A 23966-nucleotide genomic window follows, 5' to 3' on the forward strand; every position below is an offset into this window, starting at 1 on the left:
GCAAGCTGCATAGGAAGAGACCTTCTTGAGGTGGCATCTCATGTCTTTATAGTGACTGTCCAGCATCTGCCACATCAGAGATCCCTGGAGGCTCTATGCTCGCCCATTATGGAAGGAAGAGGGAGGAGGCACCCCATTTGCTGAAGCCTTTCCCTTCCATTCCCTACTCCATCTGCCTCCCCCAAACAATTTCAGTCTGAGGGCTGTGGAAGAGTCCTAATAAACATAGCTACCATTTATTGAGTATTTACAGTGTGCCAGGCTACAAGCTTTACATGCATCATCTCACTATTCCTCATGACCAATCCATGGAATGAGCATTCTTATTTTACAGATGAAGAAGCTGAGGCTCAGAGAGGTTAAGTGACTTGCCTAAGGTCATGCGGCAAGTAAGTCATAGAGCTGGGATTTGAAATCCTGGTCTGTCTGATTCTAAACGCCATACTCTTAACTACTGTGCTACGTTGGCCACAGAGATGCCTGAGAAACCGAGTGCTTTCTAAGACATTGGGGTGTTTTAGAGACATGTCCTGGAAGCTGTGTGAGAGGGAAGCCTGGGGCTCAGGGAAGCCAGAGTATTGAATCTTGGAGGCTTCTTTGGGAATCCAAGCCCCTGGAGAAGAAGGGAGGGATATGATCTCCCGGGGGAAAAGTACAACTCAATAAAGAGCTTCTTGGTTCTGGATTAAACACAGGTGGAACTGCTTCTTACTGGTAATTGGGAGTTTGGCCAGATTGTGGGGCTTGTTTCTTGGTCGGACAGGGAAGGAGGCAGCCCCAGAGGCGTTAGGCTGACGAAGGAAAAGAGAGGCCTTCTTACTCAGAAACCTCTTCCTGGTGTCTGGGCCAAGCTAGGATCAGTCTCTTTTCTGGAGATGCAAGTAGGGTCTGGTACAGGACTTGAGAGTTCGGCCCCACATCTGTGGTGACCCTCCCCTAGGGAGGCAGAGACGTGGCTGGGGGAGCAGCCCCAACCCCTGTATCCACTTCAGAGATGGGCTGTGGAATCCACATGTGCTTCTGCTGCTTGGCTTCTGGATCATTCCTGATTCTGTTCCCACCTCTGCCCTCACCCCTTTCATCCCCAGTGACTGTACCCCTGACAGCACCCTTCCCACTCCCCTGACAGCACCCTTCTCACCCCCCTGACAGCACCCTTCCCACCTCTGCACCTCTCCAGCCAGTTACCGAGGGACCTCACTGCCCATCCCACCACACTGCCCGTCCCAGAAGGCCGTCAGCTGCCGGATCACCTCACTTGAGAGGTCTGTAGGGGCACTTGCGATGTGCCAAAAACATTGCTCAGGTTGGATGGATGTGCTCTTGGCATGAGGGTGAGCAGAAACCGAGTCCTCTTTTGTGCAACATTATGTTTAAATTGCTTGAACCAAACTGTGGCTTTGGGGCAGGGCTGTTTTTCCCCTTAGCAGCTGACTGGGTGCAGAGGAACAACACCGAGTCAGTTCCAGCCACTTTTTCTGGGTAAGTGATGGCAGCCAGGTCACTGGGCTGGGGTTTTAGGAGTAGGAGGTCTGAGGAAGGGCCCCTGGGTATGCAAGAGAAAGGGTCAGGAAATGGGAGTTCCTGGGCCTCAGGGCTTAGGCCTCAGAAAAGCTCTGTCAAGGGAGGACCTTGAGAGCCTGGCCAGCTAGTGGCTTCTGAAGCCGGCTTCCCAGGCAAGGACACTCGCACCCCAGTGCCTGATGCAGCTCTTGGCCTGGAGCTGGGAATGCAGGGGGTGACCTGATTCCATTGCATTTGCTGAAGTAGGCTGGAACCAGAGATGGCGACAGCTGCTTCCAGAATCTTCCTCTAAACCATCTCCTGTGTTGATTCTTCTTTTCCATCTCCACTGCCACAGTGTAGCCCGGGCTGCTGTCAACACCTCATGCTTGCATTTGTGCCAGTGCCTCTTAACTGTCCATTTTGCATTTATTCTCTTTCCCCTTCACTCTGTTCTGCCCTCTGTGGCCAGAACAAGCAGCTGAAAACATCAGTTTTATGGAGTGACTTTCCTACCCAAGCTTCCACGGGTTCTTTCTGGGCCACAGAACTGAGGCTCGGCTGTCTTGAGGGAGCCATCCCACCTTCACACAGACATCTGGCAGCAGCCACATGGGCGTCTCCTCTGTCTCCTGCGCACGCATGGCCGTTTTATTCAGGGTGCTCTCCTCTGCCTGACATGCCTTTCCTCGTCTCAGCCATGAGGCCAAATGTTATTTATCCTTCAAGGGGCAGCCTGAGTCCCGCTCCCTCCGGGCAGTCTTCCCAGCTGCCCCAACTCCTCCTTCTCCAAGACCTTCAGCTCCACTCGCTGTCGTCCTCTGGACAATTCCATGACAGGCGGGCAGTGTATAGCTCTTCCTTGTTTGTTGGTCTTTTCTCTTGACCCAGAGCATTGGCTTTTGGAGGAAGGAGCCAGATCATGTTCTTTGGGAGCTGACAGCAGGCGCTGGGTCAAGCCTCTAATGAGCACTTAAGAAATAATTGTTGAATTGATCAACAGGAAATAAGCTTAGATTGCAGCACAAGGGATTTAGGTTGGATTTAAGGAAGGATTTCTAGAGAGCCATTAGATGTTTAGAAAGGATGGCTGAGGGAGACTATGGCAGTACCAGGTCTTACCACAATTATGAAAAATAAGAGAAGATTCTCCTGAAAATCAGGGGATGTGGCGGTGGCAGCTGTCAAGGTTTACATGGAGAAAGGTGGGGAAGGAGAGAAAGAAATGGCCACGCTTTAGTGTCCAGTTAAAGGACTACAGACTTTTGGCTGGAATCTGCCTTTCTACTTCTGATTCTTGTCATTAGCTGAGGGCTTTCTTCACTTTTCCCTCCTGTGACGCAGCTTGAGTCAAGCTATACCTCAAGGCGTGGGATGAGAAGTGGAGCAGGTGTCGCGCAGGGAGCGGGGCACTGACCTCACCAGGGCCAAAGCCATGGAGCATCCGCCTGTTCTGGCAGTCCAAAGAGTGGCTTTGCCATCCCGTTCCTCAGAACCCGAGCTGTTCCTCAACCCTCCAACAGGTGCGTGGTGGGTTGTATGGTGAAGGCATGCTCAAGGGAACGGGAACACCCTTCTTCACCACTACCCTCTGTGTTTCGCAAAACACGAGTCCACCAGCGGGGTGCTTTGTTTTGCCTGCAGATGTGTGAAGCCACAGGCACAGCCCCTGAACAGGAACAGCTTCCTGAAGGGCTCAGGAGGGGGTCAGTGGCTTTATAGTAAACTTGCTGTTTTGCTGTAGAATGCACGACTATGTTACAGGTGATGAGCTTCCTCTGCTGCGCTGGGGCCTTCCGGGACTTTACTACCACGCCACCCTCAGCCCCACATGCCTCCTCCTGTCCCTGGGGCTGGGGGTGTGCTGAGTGAAAGGAGTGGTAGAAGTGAGGAACAAAGCCGCCACAAAGGCATCAGGAGGAATGGGGGCAGTGGGAGCTGGAGGAACCTTTCGGTGCCATTTGGGCTTCAGATGCAGCATTGTTCATACAGGTGCAGCCCTCTCCTCCGGCTCTCAAAGGCCGGATTAGGCACATTCAGTCTTTGTTCTGATATCACAGCCGGCCTCTGCTCTATTCATTCAAAGGCGGCTTTGTGGTCCTGGGGACCGACCCCTGTGCTTTGGGAGCCCCTGTGCCGGAAGATGGAGAGACACTGGCAGGGCAGTGCGGCTTTTTCCTGGTGACCACTTACAGGAGCTGTGATGGAGTGGGCGGGGGGTGCAGAGCAAAGGCAGCTCTGGCAGGGCTGGAAGTATTTTGGGGACGCTGGCAGCAGTTCTTCTGTCACCTTCTGTAAGCCGATGAGACATTCTGAGCAATTCTGACGGAAGCTGTGCAAGACTACACCAACCTAGGGCAGTAGTTTTAAAATTTCTTGAAGACATGGAACTCTTCTTACACCAAATCAGACTGCATCCTCAGAGGCCAGACCACTGAGAGAGTTTTAATGATGAGTATACTTAGGGTGACATACATTATGGGGTGCAGAGCAAAAGTTTAAACGGATCGATTCTCTGATCCGTTTCACCCATAGCAAGCGCAGGTGAAAAAGGGTAAAGTTTTCTTACAAAATACATCTTTACGATATAGTTTTTATCTTACTCTTTTACTTCAACCCAGTGGCCCTTCTGGGAAAGGTCTAAACAAAAAGTAGATGTTTAGTGTACTAGTATTTTATTTATTTTCAGAAACAGGATGGCAGTTGTAGGCTTGTAATAACATCGTTCTCCCATTTAAAATGTTCATTATTTTTAAAAATTCATTATGGCTGTTTCTGAAAAATGAAAGACTTTTTTTTTCACTACGGTTAGTTAACACATGTACTGTTTCTGAATTTAAAACTCGAAATATCTTCCACCTCTTTTTGTCATGGTTCTTTATACAGCTGTGTGTTAAAAATCACTGTAATACAAAATTAGAAAGAAATGAGCTCACACAAATGTAAAAGACATTTTTTTGTTTTTGTTTTTTTTAGACAGATTCCTTCTCTGTTGCCCAGGCTGGGGTACAATGGTGTGATCTCGGCTCACTGCAACCTGCGCCTCCTGGGTTCAAGCGATTCTCATGTCTCAGCTGGGACTACAGGTGCACACCACCACGCCTGGCTTATTTTTGTATTTTTAGTAGAGACAGGGTGTCCCCATGTTGGCCAGGTTGGTCTTGAACTCCTGACCTCAAGTGATCTGCCTGTCTCAGCCTCCCATAGTGCTGGAATTACAGGCATGAGCCATCGCGCCTGGCCAGAAAATTGGCTATTTCACAAAATATACGAACTTTGACTTTGTTTGCAAACCAATATCTAGAATCCTTGCTAACTTCAGTGAAAGTATGTTGAAACCATGGGATGCAGTTTAAAAAACTGATTTAGTCAATAATAGAAGTATTAATGTAGTAACATCTAAGATTTTTCAAACAGTTTTTATGTGCCAACCCACTCCTTTATTCTCAGAACATCTTCGATACTGTAACTGCCATATTTCCCTGCCTTAACAGATGAGGAAACTGAGGCTCATAGAGGTATGTATCTTGATCAAGGTCCAAGGACCAAGGACTGGATCCCAGGTGTGTCTCACTGAAAGTCCATGTTTTTACCGCCTGCCTTGCATTTTCTGCCCAGTACAGAGGACCTTCCCAAGCAGCACCCCTTTCTTTGCTGTGTCCCGTTGAAGGCTCACATCTCGTTTCTGTTAGAAGCATCACACCTGATTGACGACTGGGGTATTGTCATTGGCCCAGGGCTTTGACACTGAGTTAGTCTGGCATCCATCTCCATCCACCGAGGCATACATGAGGACAGCCCCTTCCCCCACATCAGAAATAGAATGGCATTGATTCTGAATTTTGTCCCTCATATTTTCGTCCTGCTATGTTAGAGAGCAGCTCCCCAGGAGAGAGACAGAGCAATCTCCAATCTAGCCAGATGGGGCAGGAAGGATGGGGTGGGACTGAACCACAGGGGAGAAGTGTTGGGTCCTAGAAAAATTGCTGCTGAGGTCCAGGTGTTATGGCCTTTGAAGGACTCAGCATCTTTGTTTAGTCCTACTCCTCTCCTTTTTAAGGGAATAGATGGGAGGAGGTAAGAATGTGGTGGTAGGATCTTAGAAACCTACATCTTCTTTACTAAATTATGCAAAAACATCATTTGCTGAGCCTTTACGTAGTCCAAGGCTGGATTGAGGGTTTAGCTCCTTTGGATCTTCACACAGTTCCTTGGTCCTTGTTGGCTGACATATAATGGAGCCATAGGTCTGGGTTTGAATTCTGATTATATGGCCTTGATCAATTGCTCAACTTTTCTGAGTCTCAGTTTTTCCATCTGCAAAGTGGGATGCAGAAGATTACCTCTTGGGTGGTTGTCAGGATCAATTAAAATAATTTATTTAAAATTCTTAGCCCTGCCCCTGGCACATAGAAGGCATACAATAAATGAGAATCCCCTGGAAACTTATTTCTATTCTACTATGACTTCTTCCTCTCTAATTCCCTCTTAGAATGCTGTAAAATTTCAGCAGTGCAATTGGGTGCTTTATAGTCTAGGTTTTAGATAAATGTAGTCTTCTTTCTTGGAACTTCTGTACTAAAATATAATTTTTAAGGCAGTTTTCTGGTGGAGACAGGGACCCCAAATAGATTTAGATCTGGCATGGGGAATCTGTTTAAGGTAAAGCAACCTCTATTTTAAGTGTCTCCTTCAGAGATGCTTTTAAATGCACCAAAAGTTGGGGAGATATACCTTATCGAGGTAAAAAGGAGAAAATTGAAAATTGTCTTTTTCTGCTTTCCCTAGAAGAAATAGTTTCTTATACAAGACCAAACACTCCAGCACAAGTCATCCTTAGCCCTATCTTTTTGGAGGCCGATCAGAAGGCAGTCAGCCCTGTATTTTAACCTAGCCTAAGTACTCTGATTAGCTTGAGCAACTTCAGAAGTTGGCCTGTGGCCTCCCGAGCCCCTCTTCCAGCTAGTTTGCTGGGGTCTCTTTAGAGTTGATGTGTTTTTCTGGATCAGGTCAGGAACGGAATTGCCTTTTAAAGAGACACCTGTGTTGTGACCCAGACCAAGAAGAACCTCCTCCAAGGAGCTTGCTACATGTGGGTGGCAGCACGGGGGTGGTTGTGCTTTGGTGTATCCCCACTCTGAAGTCTGTGCCTGGGACCTGACTCCGCAGCTCAAGGGTACTAAGGCCCTAGAAGGATGTGAAATAGGAACAGTGAGGATTGCGTCCACAGGACCATGAGGGGCAGGAACTATGGCAGTGTGCCCCTCCCTGCAGATCCTGTGCCTAGCACAGTGGCTGACCTTAGAAGGGGGTTAGTAAATTTTATGGAATGAATGAATGTGGCAAGTTGTGGAGCTAGTGTATGAAACTACCTTCAGGTTTTGAATTGTTTTGCAAGGAAACGAATGCCAGGGGAGTTTTGTCCTAAGGGCATCTTTCAGCAATGATGGGAGAGCCAATGTCCCTCCACATCCCTCCCCTACCTGAAGCTAGAGCTGCATGTCTTGCAAGGTCTTATTTTTGGCCCTGTGATTTTCATTTCTCCCCCATTCTCCCAGTTGACGACATATCACCACCGTTTGTCACCTTCTAGTCTAAGGGCCCATACAGGTTACATGTGTGCCCTAGAGAGGCTGCTGAGTGCCGCTGGCAGCCCCTATCACAGCACCACTTTGGCTTGGGACATTAGAGTTCATCCCAACTGGTGAGATTCAGAGCTGCATCATAGGGAAGGCTGAAGACTGCCTGTCTGTGTCATCTGAGCTGAAGAGGGAGACTACGTGGTGAGGATGCAGTTGCCTGGGTAGACGCTGCCCGAGAGGGCATCTGGGCCTGTAATGCTAATGACACTGTTGAGAAAGGACACTGAGTTGTTCTGTGCTGAACTGAGAACCGTAGGTGTGACACAGAGGAACAAGTAACCCCATCCGACTTCCAGAGATCAAGAAGCCGAGAAGGCATCCTTCCTCCTTCCCCTCCCACTGCGAGTCTGGGCAAGCTTCGCTCAGTCCCTGGCCTTGTGTGGGCCATTGCCGGCCAGCGTTGGATGCTTTTGAGGTGACAGCAGAATTTGGTGTAGAACTTTGGGTGCAACTTGGCTAAAGGCAGGTCTGGGTCAATCTGTTTGGATTCTGTGTGTGCCTCACTCTCATCCCTTTAAAACAGGTGTTTTTTAGGAAACTTAGAACTAAAGAAAAGTGCCAAGAAAAAAGCCAAACCCATCTATAACCCATCTGTGTTCCTACCATTCAGAGACAGTCACTATTAACATTTTGGTATATTTCCTATCTTTTGTCTTTCTCTTTTTCTGTCTGGAGTGGGAGGAAGATTACTTACATATATACACACATAAGTATGTATTATATGTATGTATATTTATATACATGTTTGATATTCTGCTTTGGTTTTAGTTAATTTTATATTGTGAGCATTTCCCCGGTCAATAAAAAGTCTTGAGAACTGCATTGAAGGCTGGGTGAAAAGTCTTTAGTACCGAGTCTTTTGGGTGTTATCCTTCGCATCAGAAAAGCCTGTGGAGTTCCCGTTCTTTGAGAGTGTGCAGGCTTTGCTTGGTGTGCCCTGCATTCTCTCTGGGAGTAGATCCACCCACCCCTTGCTATCTTGTTTCTACAGGACTGCTTAACAGATGGGATCTGCTAAGTGCAAAAGCAAGGGTCTCTCAATCAGTTTGCCTAATCCCATGTTTGAGGGAAATCTGACCTTAAGGGTTATAAATGTCTGGACTAATAGAAAAAGATCCTCGTAGTCAAATACAGGTTTTTATCCTTAAAAGAAAGATCTTTGCTCTGCCCTGGAACTGAAAGGGTTAGTACATGGAAGAACCATTCTTTCTCTCCCTCAGGAGTGGGTTTGCTTTGGTTTTCCACTGATCTCCCGTTCCTGCCTGTAGAATTTGACATGGTTTTATTTACTTTTCCTTGGCCCAGTTTGGGTCAACAGGATTTCTCTCCTGCTCAGAACAGCCTCACAGTTGTGCGAAGTCAGACGTGAGCCTGGGGCCTGGGCAGCGGTCATCAATCCTTGTCTGAGCGACGCAGTGGGGATTTTCAGCTTGAGATGGTCTGACAGCACCAGCGCCACCGCCAGTCCCACACGGGCCAAGCTATTTCTTCTCCCCTTTTGCCTGTGACTTCGAAAGCATTTTGTGTGTGTGTTTGAGGGTATGCACACATGCATGCTCACATGTGTGCATGTATGTGCTTTTGTGTTTGGTGATCTGAAGCCAGGCATCAATCAGTACAGCAGGATCTCAAATGACAGTGGAAATAGCAATGAAAGGAAGCACACGAGTTAAACACACACAGCCCCAACAGAATTCGATGATATAGCAAGACTGGGATTTCCTCTTCTGTTTGTTTTAGCCTGCACTTGCTCAGCTTCATTCCCAGGGCTTAGTGCTGTAAGGGAGTGGATTTCCTCAAGTGCTGTGGATAAAGCATTTCTTCCTCTGTTATCTCCCTTGTCAGTGTAAATCTCTCCACTGTGTAAGTGGAAATGAAGATGAGCCTGTGTGTATGCCATAGGATTTCACCCAAATTAAACAGGCACTTAAATGACATTTTCCTTCATGATAATCCTATGACACTGAAATATACCAGTTCTCCATTTTGTTATTACAGAGCCATGACATACTCTCCAGGGGCTGGGAGAGTATAGTACTCTGCCTCTTCTTCCTGCTATGTTTAGAATTTGTGTGGCAGTCTTTTATCGTGGGTGGGCTATGTTGAGGCTGTTTTGGGCCCTTTTGTATTGATAAGGGGAACAGTCGGTGGTAAAAGCACAATATGCGAGTGGATAAATATTTTCTAAGGTTAGAAAACGAATAGCAGCAACACCAAGAATCCCGTGTAGTGGCGTCGTGAGGGCTAACGGCAGCTCTGCAGCAGGATGAGAAAGGAGACCCAGCAAGAGGAGAGTCTGTCTTGCAGGTTCAGTGGCTCAGGCCTGGAGAGTGGCTTTTGGGCTTCTTACCCCTTAAGATGTTGTTGGGCTGCTGCTGTATTGGGGATGGAGCAGGAAGCACACTGGGTGGGGCTCACCTGGCCCATTTGGCTCATTGAAGGAGGGACAAGCAGTGTCCATGACTTCTGTCGGTGGCGTGAGGGTCTCTTATAGGACACTGATAAGGTCTCCATTCACCTCCTTTGGGGAACATACTGTGATATCGGAGGTCTTATGTCTGGTGATGCAGAGCAGATCCAGAGGGGAGGAAAACAAAGACTTCCAGTGCTATTGTTTTTGCAAGTAACTTAGCTGGCAGCTTTCTTCTTCCACATTCTTGGTCCTAGACTCTTGAACAAGAGCCAGTGATTGTGCCCTCCAAACGATGACTTCCTAAGGGCTCTTCTCAGTGTGAGGGTGTGTGCACGCATGTCGCTGTGTTCATCTGATGGAAGCACACATGCCTCAGCTCATGAACAGGTTCAGCTGATCAGCCCTTTTATTTAAAGCACTATCCAACTCCCACCCCTTTCAAACTCTCCGTCGGACTCTGGGCCAGGTTAGCTTCATTTCAGCCACATTGTGAGTTACTGAGTGTATTAGTCTGTTCTCACGCTGCTAATAAAGACATACCCAAGACTGGGTCATTTATAAAGGAAAGAGGTTTAATAGACTCACATTCAGCAGGGCTGGGGAAGCCTCATAATCATGGTGGAAGGCAAAGGAAGAACAAAGGCATATCTTACATGGCAGCAGGCAAGAGAGCGTGTGCAGGGAACTGCCCTTTATAAAACCATCATATCTTGTGAGATTTATTCACTATCATGAGAACAGCATGGGAAAAAACCACCCCCATGATTCAATTACTTCCCATCGGGTCCCTCCTACCACATGTGGGGATTATGGGAGCTACAAGTCAAGATGAGATTTGGGTGGGGAAATAGCCAAACCATGTCACTAAGACATTTTGTCTCACAGCCAGTTCCAGTGTCATCTTTATGGAAAACCAATCTCTGGATCTTACTGGCTTTTGCAAGTTCTCTCTAAGTTTGGGGCTGCCTGTTGGAATCCCACAGTCTGCTAAAGGGACCCAGTCTCCCCTTAGCTTCTATTCTGATAACTTTTTGATAACTGGTATTTCCATTTCTCTTCTGTCTGTGATTATACAATAGTGCCACATTCACATTTACTCCTAAATTACAATGACTCTAAGACCCTCATCTGCTCAAACAGTAACTCCCCTTAGTCCCCACTTTGGTGTGCCTTGGATACTTGCACAAATAAGTTATAATTTCCTCTTTGCCCAAAGGATGCTTAGTGCTGGCTGTGCCCATGGTGAAAGCCAGGTCCAGGTGAGTGGGACTATCTCCCACTGCTGCCAAAGCTGTCGATTCAGGTGCCAGAGCAGGGATGGGCTTCATGCAGAGGTGGGAAGAAGGACCCACCTCATTTCTGTTTCTCTTTGCCATCTAGCTCTGTGAGTGCCCAGAATCTCTCAAGGGGAACTTGAATCTTTTGGATGCCACTTTCAGCTTCTGCATCTCCCACTTTGTCCAGAATCTCTACAAGTCTCTTGCGAAAACAATTCTGTCTGTTTTGGGATCTTGTCTTTCCAACCAGAGGGGTTCAGTCACTGCCCAGCACCCAGTTGTATTGAGACCAACCCCAGCCATCTTCCCCACTCCCCACTGAACTTCTCCCTCAGTCCCCTAGTGGTAAAACACATCTCACATATCACTGGGTGCAAAGAGCTACCAGTGATGATGAGCTGAGGATGGTGGCCCAGGGTCCGGTGGCACAGGAGTATCCAGCGCTCACTGCCACAAGCCAGCAGGCTCAGTGCCATGCTAGATATTTGTGTTCTTAGTAATGCTCAATGAAAACTTAGAGCATATTGCTGGTCAGATCTCATAGGAGTGTTCAGGATAACTTTATAAGGAGTTACTACCCTTGGCTGAATAAATTGCTCCTGCCAGGTGGAGCGATGGTGCTAATTTAACAAACCCTTCCTATCAGATGTGTGTGTCATTGGGAGGAAGGGCAGGACGCTTAGAACCAAACAGGCATGAAGAAACTCCTTCTTTGTCCTCTTTGCCTTTGCACCCCCACAAGTCTAAGTCCTCTCTTATAATCCATGATCTCTTGGATGCACCCCAAGTGTAAGACCATTTTGTGGCTCCTTGTTAATACCATCAGCTTAATCTCTATTTTTTTTCCCTCAATGCTAGTGGGCTGAGAGGATTAAAAATATCTGGATCCCTGGGTCCTGGAGAGCTCTCTGTTTATTTGATTTGTAGTGAGAGGAGTTTTTGTGCTGGTGGCAGACTTTGAGGGATGAGGAGAGGGAATGGGCATGTGACTTTCTCCAGCCTCTGCTTCCCTAGTATTTAGTGACAGGGCAGGGGTGTGTGTGCACAAGCAGAAAATAAAAATAAATGCCTTCCGTCTCTGAGTAAAAGGTTTGATGCCCTGTCGGTGATCAAGGAGGACTAAAACCTAAAGGGCATTTAAGTTGTAGGACTCCACTCATGCAAAGAAGTATTTTGATCTCCACTTGTCCTCCTTTCTCCTTCTTTCTCACGAGGATGCATGCTTCTGGCATCCCGCCCTGCCCTACCTAGCCTCGTGGAAGTCCTGTAGGGCAGCGACAAAGCCCACTGATATTCTCCATGGGCAGCAACCCTGTTCCATAAGACAGTGATAGGATTTGGTTCTTGGTGCTTTTATTTCATCCAGTTGGTCCAGATTCCACCTGGCGCATTTGCTTTTCAGCCTGGGGTAACCACCTCTCAGGAGGAGGCAGCGTGCATGTAGATGCCTAGTGTAGCACTCAGAAACTCATTGCCTTTGACTAGGCTGTAGTTCTTGGGGGCTGCTGATGGGTTTGCTAAGCTCATCATCTACAGTGTGGCCACACTTATTACCCAGGACACCCAGCCCCTTCGTTGGCCCAAATGTGCCCCTTCTTTTCCATCCCCACTGCTGCCTTATTCAAGCTTAGTAACCTCCTAAGTGTCTTCTCTGTTGTCTCTCATACCCTTGCCAAAGATTTCCAAAGCTCGGATCTGAGTTTGTGTTTTACTTCCTTCATTGGCTTTCAGTTTTTTAACAAAACAAAACACCAAAGACAGCTGGGAATTTTTAGGATCCTCTATGATCTCTCCCCAACCTGGCCCTAGGGGCTGATTTCTTCTATGAAGGGTCATTTCTAAACTCTATCTTGAAATTACTTTGCTTGTGTACTTAGGTGTACCTGTTGTGATTCTCTTAGCTTGTCCTTTCAACATCCCTTCCTACTTGTGAAAATCTTTTAAGACCCAGTTTATGGCTCCTTCCCTGAGAAATTCTCCTGGATCCTTTCAGTCTGAATTTACCTCTCCTTCTAGCCCTACAGAACACAGTGTCAGCTGCTCTGTCCAGCACTCAGCAGAGCCCTGAAGCATAATAGGTGCTCAGTGAGTCTTTGCCAAATGGATGGTTCTTTTTCCTTCCTCCCTGCCTCTCCTATCCTCTCTTTTCCTTTCTACGAGTTTGCTGTGACCATCTCACATCTTGGATTGTCTGGCATCCCATTTTCCCATATCCTATCTGTTTGTTTGTGACTTAGGCTTTGCTTCCTGGTTTCAAAAATGCAGCCCCAGTGGAGATATGTCCACATGTCAGTCTTTGCAACTAGATCAGCTTGTAGGGGCAGGGCCTGTGTTCTTGTTTATTTTCATAATCCTCAATGTACCTAGCATGGTGGCTTGTATTAAAGGGGGTGGGCAGAGAAATCGCCAGAAACTTCTCTGAGTGCCTATGGGGGTGTCTGATGTGCCCTTCAAAGCAAACATTCTTTGGAATTTTTTCTTTAGTTTTGTGTTTATTGTTTTTATCTTGTTTGTTTGCTGAGTTGTAATTTGCGTGGAGTACAATTGACCCCTTTTAGGTGTACACTTTTATGAATTTTAACAAATTTATATAGTTGTGTAACCACTACCATAATCAAGATCTAGAATATTTCCATCGCCCACAAACATGTTCTCCTGCTTCTCTCCTTATCTCCAGTCCCTGGTAATCATTAATCCAATTTCTGTCACTTTGGTTTGGCCTTTTCCAGGATGTCACATAATGGAATTATATAGTATATAACTTTTTGAGTCTGGCTTCTTTCATTTGGAATAATGCTTTATTTTTATTTTTTTGGAAATTTGATGACTTGGGCCTTAACCCTCACTTTATGTGCACCTGCTTTTCTGAAAGATTGAGAAGGAGCATGGGTTTGGGGCTGCAGACAGACTCTGTGTGGATTGGGAGCATGTAGGTTAACTTGGCCCCGTTTGCGTTCTTATTAGGGTCTCTTTAGATCCAGGGTCTCAGCTGCTTTGTCAAACCCATGGGTTCTCCTCTCTCCTGCCTTCCTACACAGTGGCACCTGGTGTAAGAGAGCCTTCTCCCCTGGGCCCTGGCCCATCATCCCTGTGGCTGCTGGTGGTGGGGGGCACAGTGGAGGAGGGAAGTCGGGTGGGTGGGGTGAAGTGACTGCTAAATTCCTCCCTTGGGGAGGGGGTGGTGGTGGGGTGATGAAGGTCAGGCCTCTCCTGGCTAAAACAACAGAAGTGGCTCCAGCTGCCCAACAGCTGGAGGGGGTGTCTGCTTTCCCTCAGCAGCGTGAAAAGCCCTTTAATCGGGCATGCTGCTGTCAGGCTCTGTCGCAGAGGTGTGTGGAGGAAGAGCAGATGCTGCTGTTGCTGGCAGGCCTCTCTTTCCCTTTGACCTCCCTTATCTTCCCTCTTCCATCTTCACGGAGCCCCCCTCTGAAGCCAGCAGGTCGAGGCCCTTCTTTGCACCTGTGTAAATTCAGTGGTCATGGGGTCAGGGAAGGGTGAGAGCGAGCTGGCAGATATAGGGATGTGGATTTTTAATGCAGATGACGAATTTGATAGTGGGTGGGTGAGTGATGTTTTAATGGGAAACTACTCTCCATTCCCAAGGATGCAGGCCCCAGAGAAGAAGGCCAAAGTCCAGTTTTGCAGATGGTGAAGGACGTGGTGAGAGGCGAACAGTCCCAGGTTGGAGAGCAAGCGGCTGAGCCGCAGCTAGACGTCTGGAATGTGATTCTCTGCTTTTTGTTCCAGGCATTGGCTCCAAGAGTGGCTTTCCCCCCCCTTTCAATAGCAGGTTTACCTCCCAGAAATGCTTTTTAGTACTTGAGTTCTAAAAACTTGAGCTGGACCATGATTTACAAACAAGACAGAAAAACATCCCCTCTCTTGGGAGAGCTCTTTTTGCTTCTGGTGCCCTTCTCCTCTTCTGTTCTCCTGGGGGCAACTACTATAGACCCAAACCACTGTTGCCAGAGCTGACAGCAAAGCCCTTTCTGCCCCTCAGTGGCATCTGGGGCATAGTGTCTGATATCCCTACATTGAGGAAGGCAGTGTGGTGTGGAAGAAAGAATCTGGTCTGTGAGGATCAGACTGAGAGGAGTGCTCTACCACTTACTGACTTAACCTTGCCCAGCCTCGGTTTTCTCCTCATTCATTCAAGCCATACATATTGATTAAATGCCTCATCTGGGCACTGGGGATGCAGCAGTGTCACACCCAGATCTTGGTTTCTGCCCTCAGGGAGCTTACAGTCCGGTGGAGGGGCATGGACAAGCAATGTAAAATTAAATGATGGGCCATTTTAATCACAATTATGGCACAGGCCACAGTGGACCATAGTGGGTGTTCTGGGGGCTCATTACAGGGATCCCGACCTGTTTTGGAAGGCAGCAGCATTTACCCCGGAATTGGAGTTCATCAGGTGGAAGCACATTCCAGGGAAAGGGGCCGGCGTGTGCACAGTCCAGAGGTAGGAAGGAGCTGCAGAGCTGGGCTGTGGTTTCTGCCCTGCCTGTTACCACCCAGCAGGCATACATGTATGGATTGTTCTCCTTCCCTTTCCTTCCAAATAGGCATTTGCAGATTGGACATTTGCAGGTGGAGAAAACTCACCATTATTTACGATGTTGAGGCTATAGAAAAATGAATTTAGGGTGTCAAAAAATTGACTTATAACTGATTTTTTTTTCCATCTGGCTATTGTTCTTACTCAAGTGCATGCGTATGGTAGCTGCCCGAAAAACTAGAGTGCTAATCACATTGGCCGTTAAATTGTCAGAGTTTTCCACCTTGACATATATTAATTTCAGGCTCATCAATCTAGAGTCTCAGATACTGCCCGAGTTATGGGTGAGATGACATCTCTGGGATGGTGGAAAGGCTTCCTGGAGGCTAAGGCCAGGTTCATTGGGAATGAATTCCATGATGATTTAGTGATATATGGGTACTATCTCAGCCATACTGGTATATCCTCTTAGAGATTTTTTTCATTTCCATTATTCCAAGGAAAAAATACCATGTTTAAGATGTGACTTTTATTATCTAAGAGATAGATGTTCCTTTAAAGAAAAGAAAGGAACAAATACCTTTAATCACTATACATTTGAGAGCTTTAAGGTATTGTTGGTAGTTGGACAAAGAATATTTCTTTTCACAGTAAGTGACAGAAAAAAGAGCTACTTCTTCATGATATATTTTAGGTAAGGTTTGATATTCATTCATTCATTCCTCAAACATATACTGAACAAACTTTTTTGGTAAGGTGCTGTGTTACGCCCTATGTATATAAAGAGGAATAAGACACAATCTTTTATAGACGTGTAAATAGATAAATGATAATGCAGTATATCGAGGGTTTTGATAGAAGTATAAACACAGTGCAGCAGGAGTGCCAAGGAAGCTAATGGTGGTGTTTAAAATATGAAAGTATTTGCTTTTTAGGATGATAACCTCAGTGGCAATGTGGAATTTGAACTTGGATTAGGGGTAGGGATGGGGGCAGAAGTTTGGTGCCAAAGAATCAAACGCCCAGGCAAGAGATAAAGGACTAAATGAAGTCATCATGGATAAGACAGGAAAGCCTGTTGGAGACAGAGCCCCAGCCAAGCTCCCAACTGAGTGAAGTCAAATCTGTTACCTCAGGTGGTACCATGTGGAGCAGAAGAACCTCCTAGCTGAGCCCAGCCAACCCACATAATTATGAAAAATGATAAATTGTGGTTTGAAGCTGCTAAGTTTAGGGGTGATTTGTTTTGCTCCAATAGATAAGTGAAGCAAAAAGGTTGAAAGTGAGTACTTGAAGCTGTGTTACATATGAATTTATTAAAGAAAAACCTAAAATTAATTTGAGTTTGGCCTGTGATTTTTGAGTATGGTATCACAGAGAGAAATGTCACTTGCTGCTCCAAATTGTGGACTTCACTCTCCCAAATCCAGTGGATAGACCACTGACATGGTTGTTTAGCATGGCTATCGTCTCCTTCTCTACACCCAGGAAAAATATACGAGTATGCATATTACCAGAAAAATACCTGTTTAGATTTTAGATATTGGTTAAGTCAGCATTATACTAACAGGTGGAAGTTAAGAGGGTGAGAACAGGTCTATATTATAAAGAATTAAACATCTCCTCCCAGATGGAACCTTAGGCTGGCTCTTTTATTCCCTATATTGTCATGGAAACTTGGCAGTCAGTCAAAACTAACACAGCTTGTGGTATTGGGATGGTCTCCCTGAGCAAAAGCTGTGTGGCAGGGCTTCCATTCTACTATGCTGGAGACTGAAGGGGAAGAATCAGCATGTGTGCATTTCAGATGGAGGGGATGACTAGTCTAAAATTGATTTCATCTACCCTGATCTCCTCCATGGCAAAGGCAGCCCCCAGTCAGTAGCTTACTTTTCCAATAGGAAAAATGACTTGTTTATGTATATATCAAGTATCCATCCTACTTTACAAATGTGAACAAAACACAGAGTGTTTGGAGTCATCCACTCTGCAAGGAGAATGGGTAGGAGAGACGACTGCAGATATACAATTATCCCAGCTCCTTTTGTTTGGTTTCTGTATTATGCAATCATATTTAACATTATTATTTTATTTTTAATGTCTTTTGGTTAGGAAGAAGGAAAGGAATATAAGTGAAGATTTCTGTAAAACTGCTATTTCCCTCTAGGAGGAAATGTCTCAGTGTTTGGCTTGTTGGAGAGATGGCTTGCTCCTGCCCAATCCCCCAAATTTCCACCAACCGTGATTGCTCCTGAGCGACTCCAAACTCCTGGAATATCCTGGTTTTGACCCATAAATAGTGAACTGATTTTCTATCTGACATAGTTTGGAAATTTGTCCCCACCCAAATCTCATGTTGAAATGTAATCCCCAATGTTGGAGGTGGGCCCTGGTGGGAGGTGCTTTGGTCCTTGGGGTGCATCCCTCATGGCTTGGTGCTGTCCTTGCAATAGTGAGTACTTGTGATATCTGGTTAAGTGTTTGATCCACCCCCCATCCCTCTTGCTTCTGCTTTTGCCATGTGACATGCAAGCTCCTGCTTCACCTTCTGCCCTGAGTAAAAGCTCCCTGAGGCCTCCCCAGAAGCAGAGCAAATGCCAGTGTTATGCTTCCTGTACAGCCTACAGAACCATGAGCAATTAAATCTCTTTTCTTTATAAATTACCCAGTCTCAGGCCGGCCTTCCTTCCTTCCTTCCTTCCTTCCTTCCTTCCTTCCTTCCCTCCCTCCCTTCCTTCTTCCTTCACTCCCTCTTTCTTTTCTTTTCTTTGCTCCTTTCTTTCCTTTCATTCTTATTCTGTCACCCAGGCTGGAGTACAGTGGTACCATCATGGCTCACTGCAGCCTTCACCTCTTAGCTCAAGTGATCCTCTCATCTCAGCCTCCCAAGTAACTAGGGCCATGGGCATGCATTACTATGCCTGGCTAATTTTAAAATTTTTTGTAGAGACAGTGTCTCTCTCTGTTGCCCAGGCTGGTCTTGAACTCCTGGGCTCAAGCAATCCCACCTTCTTGACCTCCCAAAGTGCTGGGATTACAGGTGTGAACCCCCATGCCTGGCCTCAGGTATTTCTTCATAGCAATGCAAGAATGGCCTAACATACTGTCTAATTTCAAAATGCAGAAATTATTCTCCAGATCAGCTTCTTTTTTCTTTTTCTTTTTTCTCTTTTTTGTTTTTCTCTCAATCAGTCTTCACCTGGCTCAACTGAGAAAAATTCGATTGAAGACTACGCTCCCTCCTCTCTCTTCTCCTCTTGGTTTTTTTACTTTATAACTGGGCTGTTGCATACGGTAGCCTCTAGCCACATGTGGTCGTTTAAACTTAAATTAACTAAAATTAAACGTAACTAAATATTTGATTTCCCAGTTGCACTAGCTACATTGCAGTGCTTAATAGCCACATGTAGTTTGTGGCTGCTGTACTGGACAGCACAGATATAGAACATGTCCATCATGGTGAGAAGTTCTTTTGAACTGTGTGGCTTCGGAGCGTTCCAGAGTCTCTAGGATTAAGTCTTCCTCTTATTGCCTTTATCTTAATAGCTCCATGGTGTCCTGTTAACATGCTCCTTGTCTCCACCCTAAATGGTAATCTCACTGAGGGTGGGTACCATGTTGGTTACATGTTGCTTCCTATGCTGGTACGGTGTTGGGTTCACTGTTGGTGATCACTTATTGAGTACAGAGCAGTTGAACAGATGAAGGAATGAACTGGAGGGTTTGTGGACACAGAGTAATCCCTTTGGGGCCCTGGAGCTTTGGGTGATCTTATTAGGGCATAGTCATCTGGTTAAAGCTTCATTTTATAGAGCTCACTTTTTGTGTGTGTGAAAACAATCACAAATACACACAGTTCCTAAAACAGATGAAAATGTGACACCATAATTGATTGAAGATTGTCAATGACCCCATGCTATCTCTGAACTTTTTATTTGGCCTTAGGGACCAGTAATTTCTAGACAGGAATATTTTGGGTGCTCTTCTGAAGCTGAGAATGATCTCTGTGTGTTGGGATGGGTGGGGCCTCTGAAGTTCTTTAACCTGTCTGTTTGCAGACAGAGTGTTCCCCTTGTTAGGAAGCTGGTCTCTGGCACAGCTGCTGTGGCCTCTCTCTCAGTGTAGAGCAATCCATTTTCAAACCGATTTTTTGGCCTGTAGTTCAACTTCACGGGGATGCTGGCAGCTCTCCTGTCCTGTGAGCTGCAGCATAGGCAACTAGGCAACCTCAGTGGGTTTGAAAAGAAACTTTGTCTTCCTCTCCCTCTTTTTTCTGTGTGTTCTCTTAAACCACGCCCCCCTTCAATTAAATTCCAAAGAAAGAAGATGAACAAGAACTTATACGTGACTTAGGATATGTTAATAATTGAATCTTCACACCACCCTATGAGGCAAGGCTTGTTACTACTCTCATTTTACGGATGAGAAAACTAAAAGCCCAGAGAAGCTAGGCAACGTTTCCAAGGTTAAACAGCATGTGGGTGCTGTTGCTGGTACTGACACCCATGGCTGGGCTCCAGAGCCAAGCTTCTAATCACTAGGTCCCACTGCCTTTCATTATAACAAACAGAAACACCGGCCCACCTGCAAAAAGGACTTCACAAAGTCAAAAACTGTTGACCAAGCACCTACTCTGTGTGCCAGACACCAGATGCTGAACATCCAGGTGAGACAGCCCTGCCCTCCAGGGAGGTCAGGCCCAGCTCAAGACACTCCTGATGAGAGTTCTTGTTCTGAGGTGGAGTAAAGATGGCAGGCTCTGGGCCACCTCTGCCCACGTGCAATGCAGAAGTGGGATGGGAGAACATGGCTGAGGACGGCAAGGCTGTAAGCACAGGGGCATGAGGAGTGGCCCCAGCGATCCCTGGGGGTGGCAGGAGCCCGGAAAGCCAGGCCTGTGATGTCCCACTGGCAGGTGTTGAGGGAATGGCAGGCATGAGATGCTGCTACAGGGCTGCACTCCTCCCACACATGACGGAGGGCCCCAGGATTGTGCTAGATGCTCGGGGGAGGTGTTCACAGGCAAAGCAGACATCGTTCTCATCTTCATGGAGCTCAGAGCTGGGGATTCCACTGGTAACCAAATCATGCAAATGAATTCTTCATTACAAACTGTGTGAAGAGCCATGAAGGAAAAATGAAGTGTGAGAGAGTATTACAGGAGATTGTCCTCACCTGGGAGAGTCAGGGAGAACCTCCTGGAAGAGACCGCCTGAGCCAAAATCCGAAGCAGGGTGGGAGGGAATGGAGAAGGAACAGCGTGCCTGAAGGCCTGGAAGTAGCAGCAGAGGTAGCTCATTTGATAAATGGGAAGCAGGCCCGTGTGCCCCACCAGCAGGGAGCAAGGGGGAGCAGGGAAGAGAGAGCAAAGGGCCAGAGAGGGGCCCCCGGGTCTGATTCTCACCAGGCCGGGGAGACGATGTAAGGGTCCCCGAGCTCATGGGTTTAAAGCAGGGGCAACTCGAGGGGGGTTGAGGCTGGGGATCGTGTGCAGGGCTTGACTGAACAATGCTGTCCTCTCCCATTTCTCCCCGTCAGCTCACCCCTCTTCTGTGGGGCAGCCCTGGAGGCAGTGGGCTTCTCTGGAGATGATGATCTGAGTTATTTATTTTTGCCCCTGAGCACTGGACTCTATCAAATGCTGTGCTCATGAGACACTATCTGGATATTTCCCTTTGGGCCCTGGGCAAGATTCAGGTGTGACCTGTGAGTGCGTGGGAGCCCAAGGTGTCTGAAGAGAAAGCGCAATTTCACTGTCCATTTGGACAAGGCCTGTGCAGTGGTTTCAGCCCTCAGCTGCTCCATCCCTGTGCTGGGCAGCCAGCACCCAGGCATGAGGTCCAGTCCCAAGGAGGGACTGGTTTTATAGCTGGGATGTGGTCTGTGTATTTATGGACAGGTTCGGGCCCTCTTTGAGTTTGGCCAGTGTGGGGTGTGTATTTCCAGTACTCCCTTGAAGGGTGTGGTACTACCTCTGAAACTTTCTCTGCTGTTCTAGAAAAGGGTCAACAAGTTCTCATCTATTTGCTTCACACAAAGGGCCCACAAATACATTAGAGACAGAGCTTGTGTTCACACCTTCCCAAAACCTCTATGAGCTTGGTTTGATTACATAGTCAACTCTATGATTACCGATGGCCTGATTTGTGCTCATGACATTGCCATTCATTATTGTGGGACATTCATTCCCTCAACCCAATCTGATGAAGAGCCTCATTCTGTGTGCTCAGGACTCTGCTATATGGGAGTAGATAAGGGTGGACCCAGGTCTCAAGGCCTGTACAATCTAATCATGGGTTATGGAGCAGAAGCTCATGGATTGTAATAGCCCAATTATTGTTCTCCAACTGTATTCTGTTGTTGTTAACAGGGGGTTCCCTGATATAGGGGTTCATGGTTAAGTAACTGGAAGATGCTTCATTGTATATGCCCCTTGATCTGGTCGATTGTTGTGTAACAAACTACCACAAAACTTAACGGCTTAAAACAATTTATTATTATAATCTTTCTCAGTTCTGTGGGTTAACTGGGCTCAGCTGGGTGGTTCTGACTTTGGGGTCTCTCATGCAATTATTTATTTTCATCTCTCTGAGTTGCAATTAGATGACAGCTGGGACTAGACTCACCTGAAGGCTTCTTCACTCAGCATGTCTCTGTGCCTGGGTTGGTTGGGCATTTCTCTGTCTGCATGGTTTTGACATGGGTAAACTTGGGCTTCCTCATAATATGGTGGTCTCAGGGTTGTTAGGCTTCTTACACAGCAGCTGGTTTCCTCAAGAGTGATTATTACAAGAGGCCCAGGAAGGAGCTGCAAGGCTTCGTGTAACCTAACTTTGAAGTCCCCAGACACCACTCCCATAGTATTTTCTTGGTCAAGCAAGTTTCTGAGGCCAGTCCAGATTCAAGGGAGAGGAAATTAGACTCCATAGCTCAATGAGAGGAGTAGCAAATAATTTGTAGCTGTCTTTAATTTACTATGCGTCTTGGAGGTTCACAATGCATAAGAATGTATCAGAGTCATCTGAGAAGCCCTTCACCAAGAAAATCTGCTTAACTCAGCATTTTCCAAGCTGATTATTGTTGTTATTTTAAAAATCAGGAAATCTGTTTCTCACAGAAAATTATTTAACTTCTGTATTCTGCCAGAGAGAGGTGGGCAAAAATTGGAGGGATGATAGATTTGGAGCTCACTACGATCTAATAAATAAAACTTTCCCGAGATGGAATTTGGAGATTTATGGTATATTCCTGATTTGAGGATACACCCAAATAGAGGCTGCATGGCCATCTGCATGGATGAAGAGGCTGGACATCCTAGAGGATAAAGCTTTGATTTTACTTCTGACAGATTTAGGTTCTAATTCAGCCTCCACTGCTTATAGCTATGTGACACTGGGCAAGTTACGTCTCTGGGCTTCAGTTTCCTTGTCTACAGAATAGAGTTTCTATTTCATAGGGTTGTTGTGAGGACTGAGATCCTGGATGTGAATTACTTGGCACAATGCCTGTTAATGGTCAGTAATTGTTAGACATTATTGTTCTTATGATGCATAGAGGATGCCTTCCTTGGTTAGACTTTGTGGCTGCTCCGTTCCCTTCACCTTTAGGGTTTTATTTGGGTTTATTAGGGACTTACTTTCTAAAGGCAAACAAGTACTGTAAGTCATGGACTCGCCCCTACTTTTCTTGCAAAAGTAACCTCTGTACCCTTTCACTTTTTTCCAACCTAGTTTCTAATAAGTGACCGTGACCCACAGTGCAACCTCCACTGCTCCAGGACTCAACCCAAACCCATCTGTGCCTCTGATGGCAGGTCCTACGAGTCCATGTGTGAGTACCAGCGAGCCAAGTGCCGAGACCCGACCCTGGGCGTGGTGCATCGAGGTAGATGCAAAGGTGAGTGTGTGCACCCCTGCCCAGCCAAGGAGAGGTTCCTGGGCACCCCAGCTCCCTCACTATGCATTTGCAACAGGGAAGCTTGGAGTAAGTCTGTCCACTCACTTTGCTTTCCTATCTCTCCACCCCTTCCACCAGGGCCAAGGGAAGAAAGCCTGGTCTACCTGAAGGAATGAGCATTTTTCTATCTTTCAAACACTGCCCCCAGGCTAGGGCTTAAAGAGATGTGCTGCTATCTGGCCAGCGCTTTCCTTTTTCTTTTTATGGAGATGCTTAAAACCGCAAGACATTATTGCTGGCTCCTGAATAGTGATTCCAAATTGTTGGCCAACAGATGTGTTTTGTTTGGTCTGTTTGCCTGTTTAAAAACAGCAAAAAACATTTGGGATAACATTTAAAAATTGGGAGATTCAAAGAAAAAAAATCTGGCTTTTTGTCCTTCTTTTCCAAAATTGGAAGGTCTGGTAACATTAGGTCTGTGTTCCTACAAAGCAACACATGGCTAGACCTGCATAACAGCTACCGCTTTAAAGGGGAGCCTGTTGTCCAGTTTGCCACAGTCTTACAGCACTCCCTATAGTCTCTCAGAACTGAATGTCATTCCTCTCATATCCGGCTGGTTTCTCTAATTTATATCTTTTTCCTGAGTCCTGTACGTATTTGAATTTGTGACCCCGGACTGCTTAGAGCCATCACAGGAATTGTAGGTGGCTAAGCAGGCTGCGCTAGAGCCT

General features: G+C 46.5%; 1 protein-coding gene across 4 annotated transcripts in view; it reads left to right on the forward strand.

The window, feature by feature from the left end:
- Window positions 1-23966, forward strand: part of SMOC1 (SPARC related modular calcium binding 1) — a 152951-nt gene that overhangs the window by 49656 nt on the left and 79329 nt on the right. For all 4 annotated transcript variants that reach the window (NM_001425244.1, NM_001425245.1, NM_001034852.3 and 1 more), the window contains exon 2: window positions 23067-23232. In NM_001425244.1, coding sequence (NP_001412173.1) covers window positions 23067-23232 — 166 coding nt within the window. The remainder of the gene's footprint in view (window positions 1-23066; window positions 23233-23966) is intronic.

The sequence above is a fragment of the Homo sapiens genome, chromosome 14 (assembly GCF_000001405.40).
Source record: "Homo sapiens chromosome 14, GRCh38.p14 Primary Assembly".
Taxonomy (NCBI): Eukaryota; Metazoa; Chordata; class Mammalia; order Primates; family Hominidae; genus Homo; species Homo sapiens.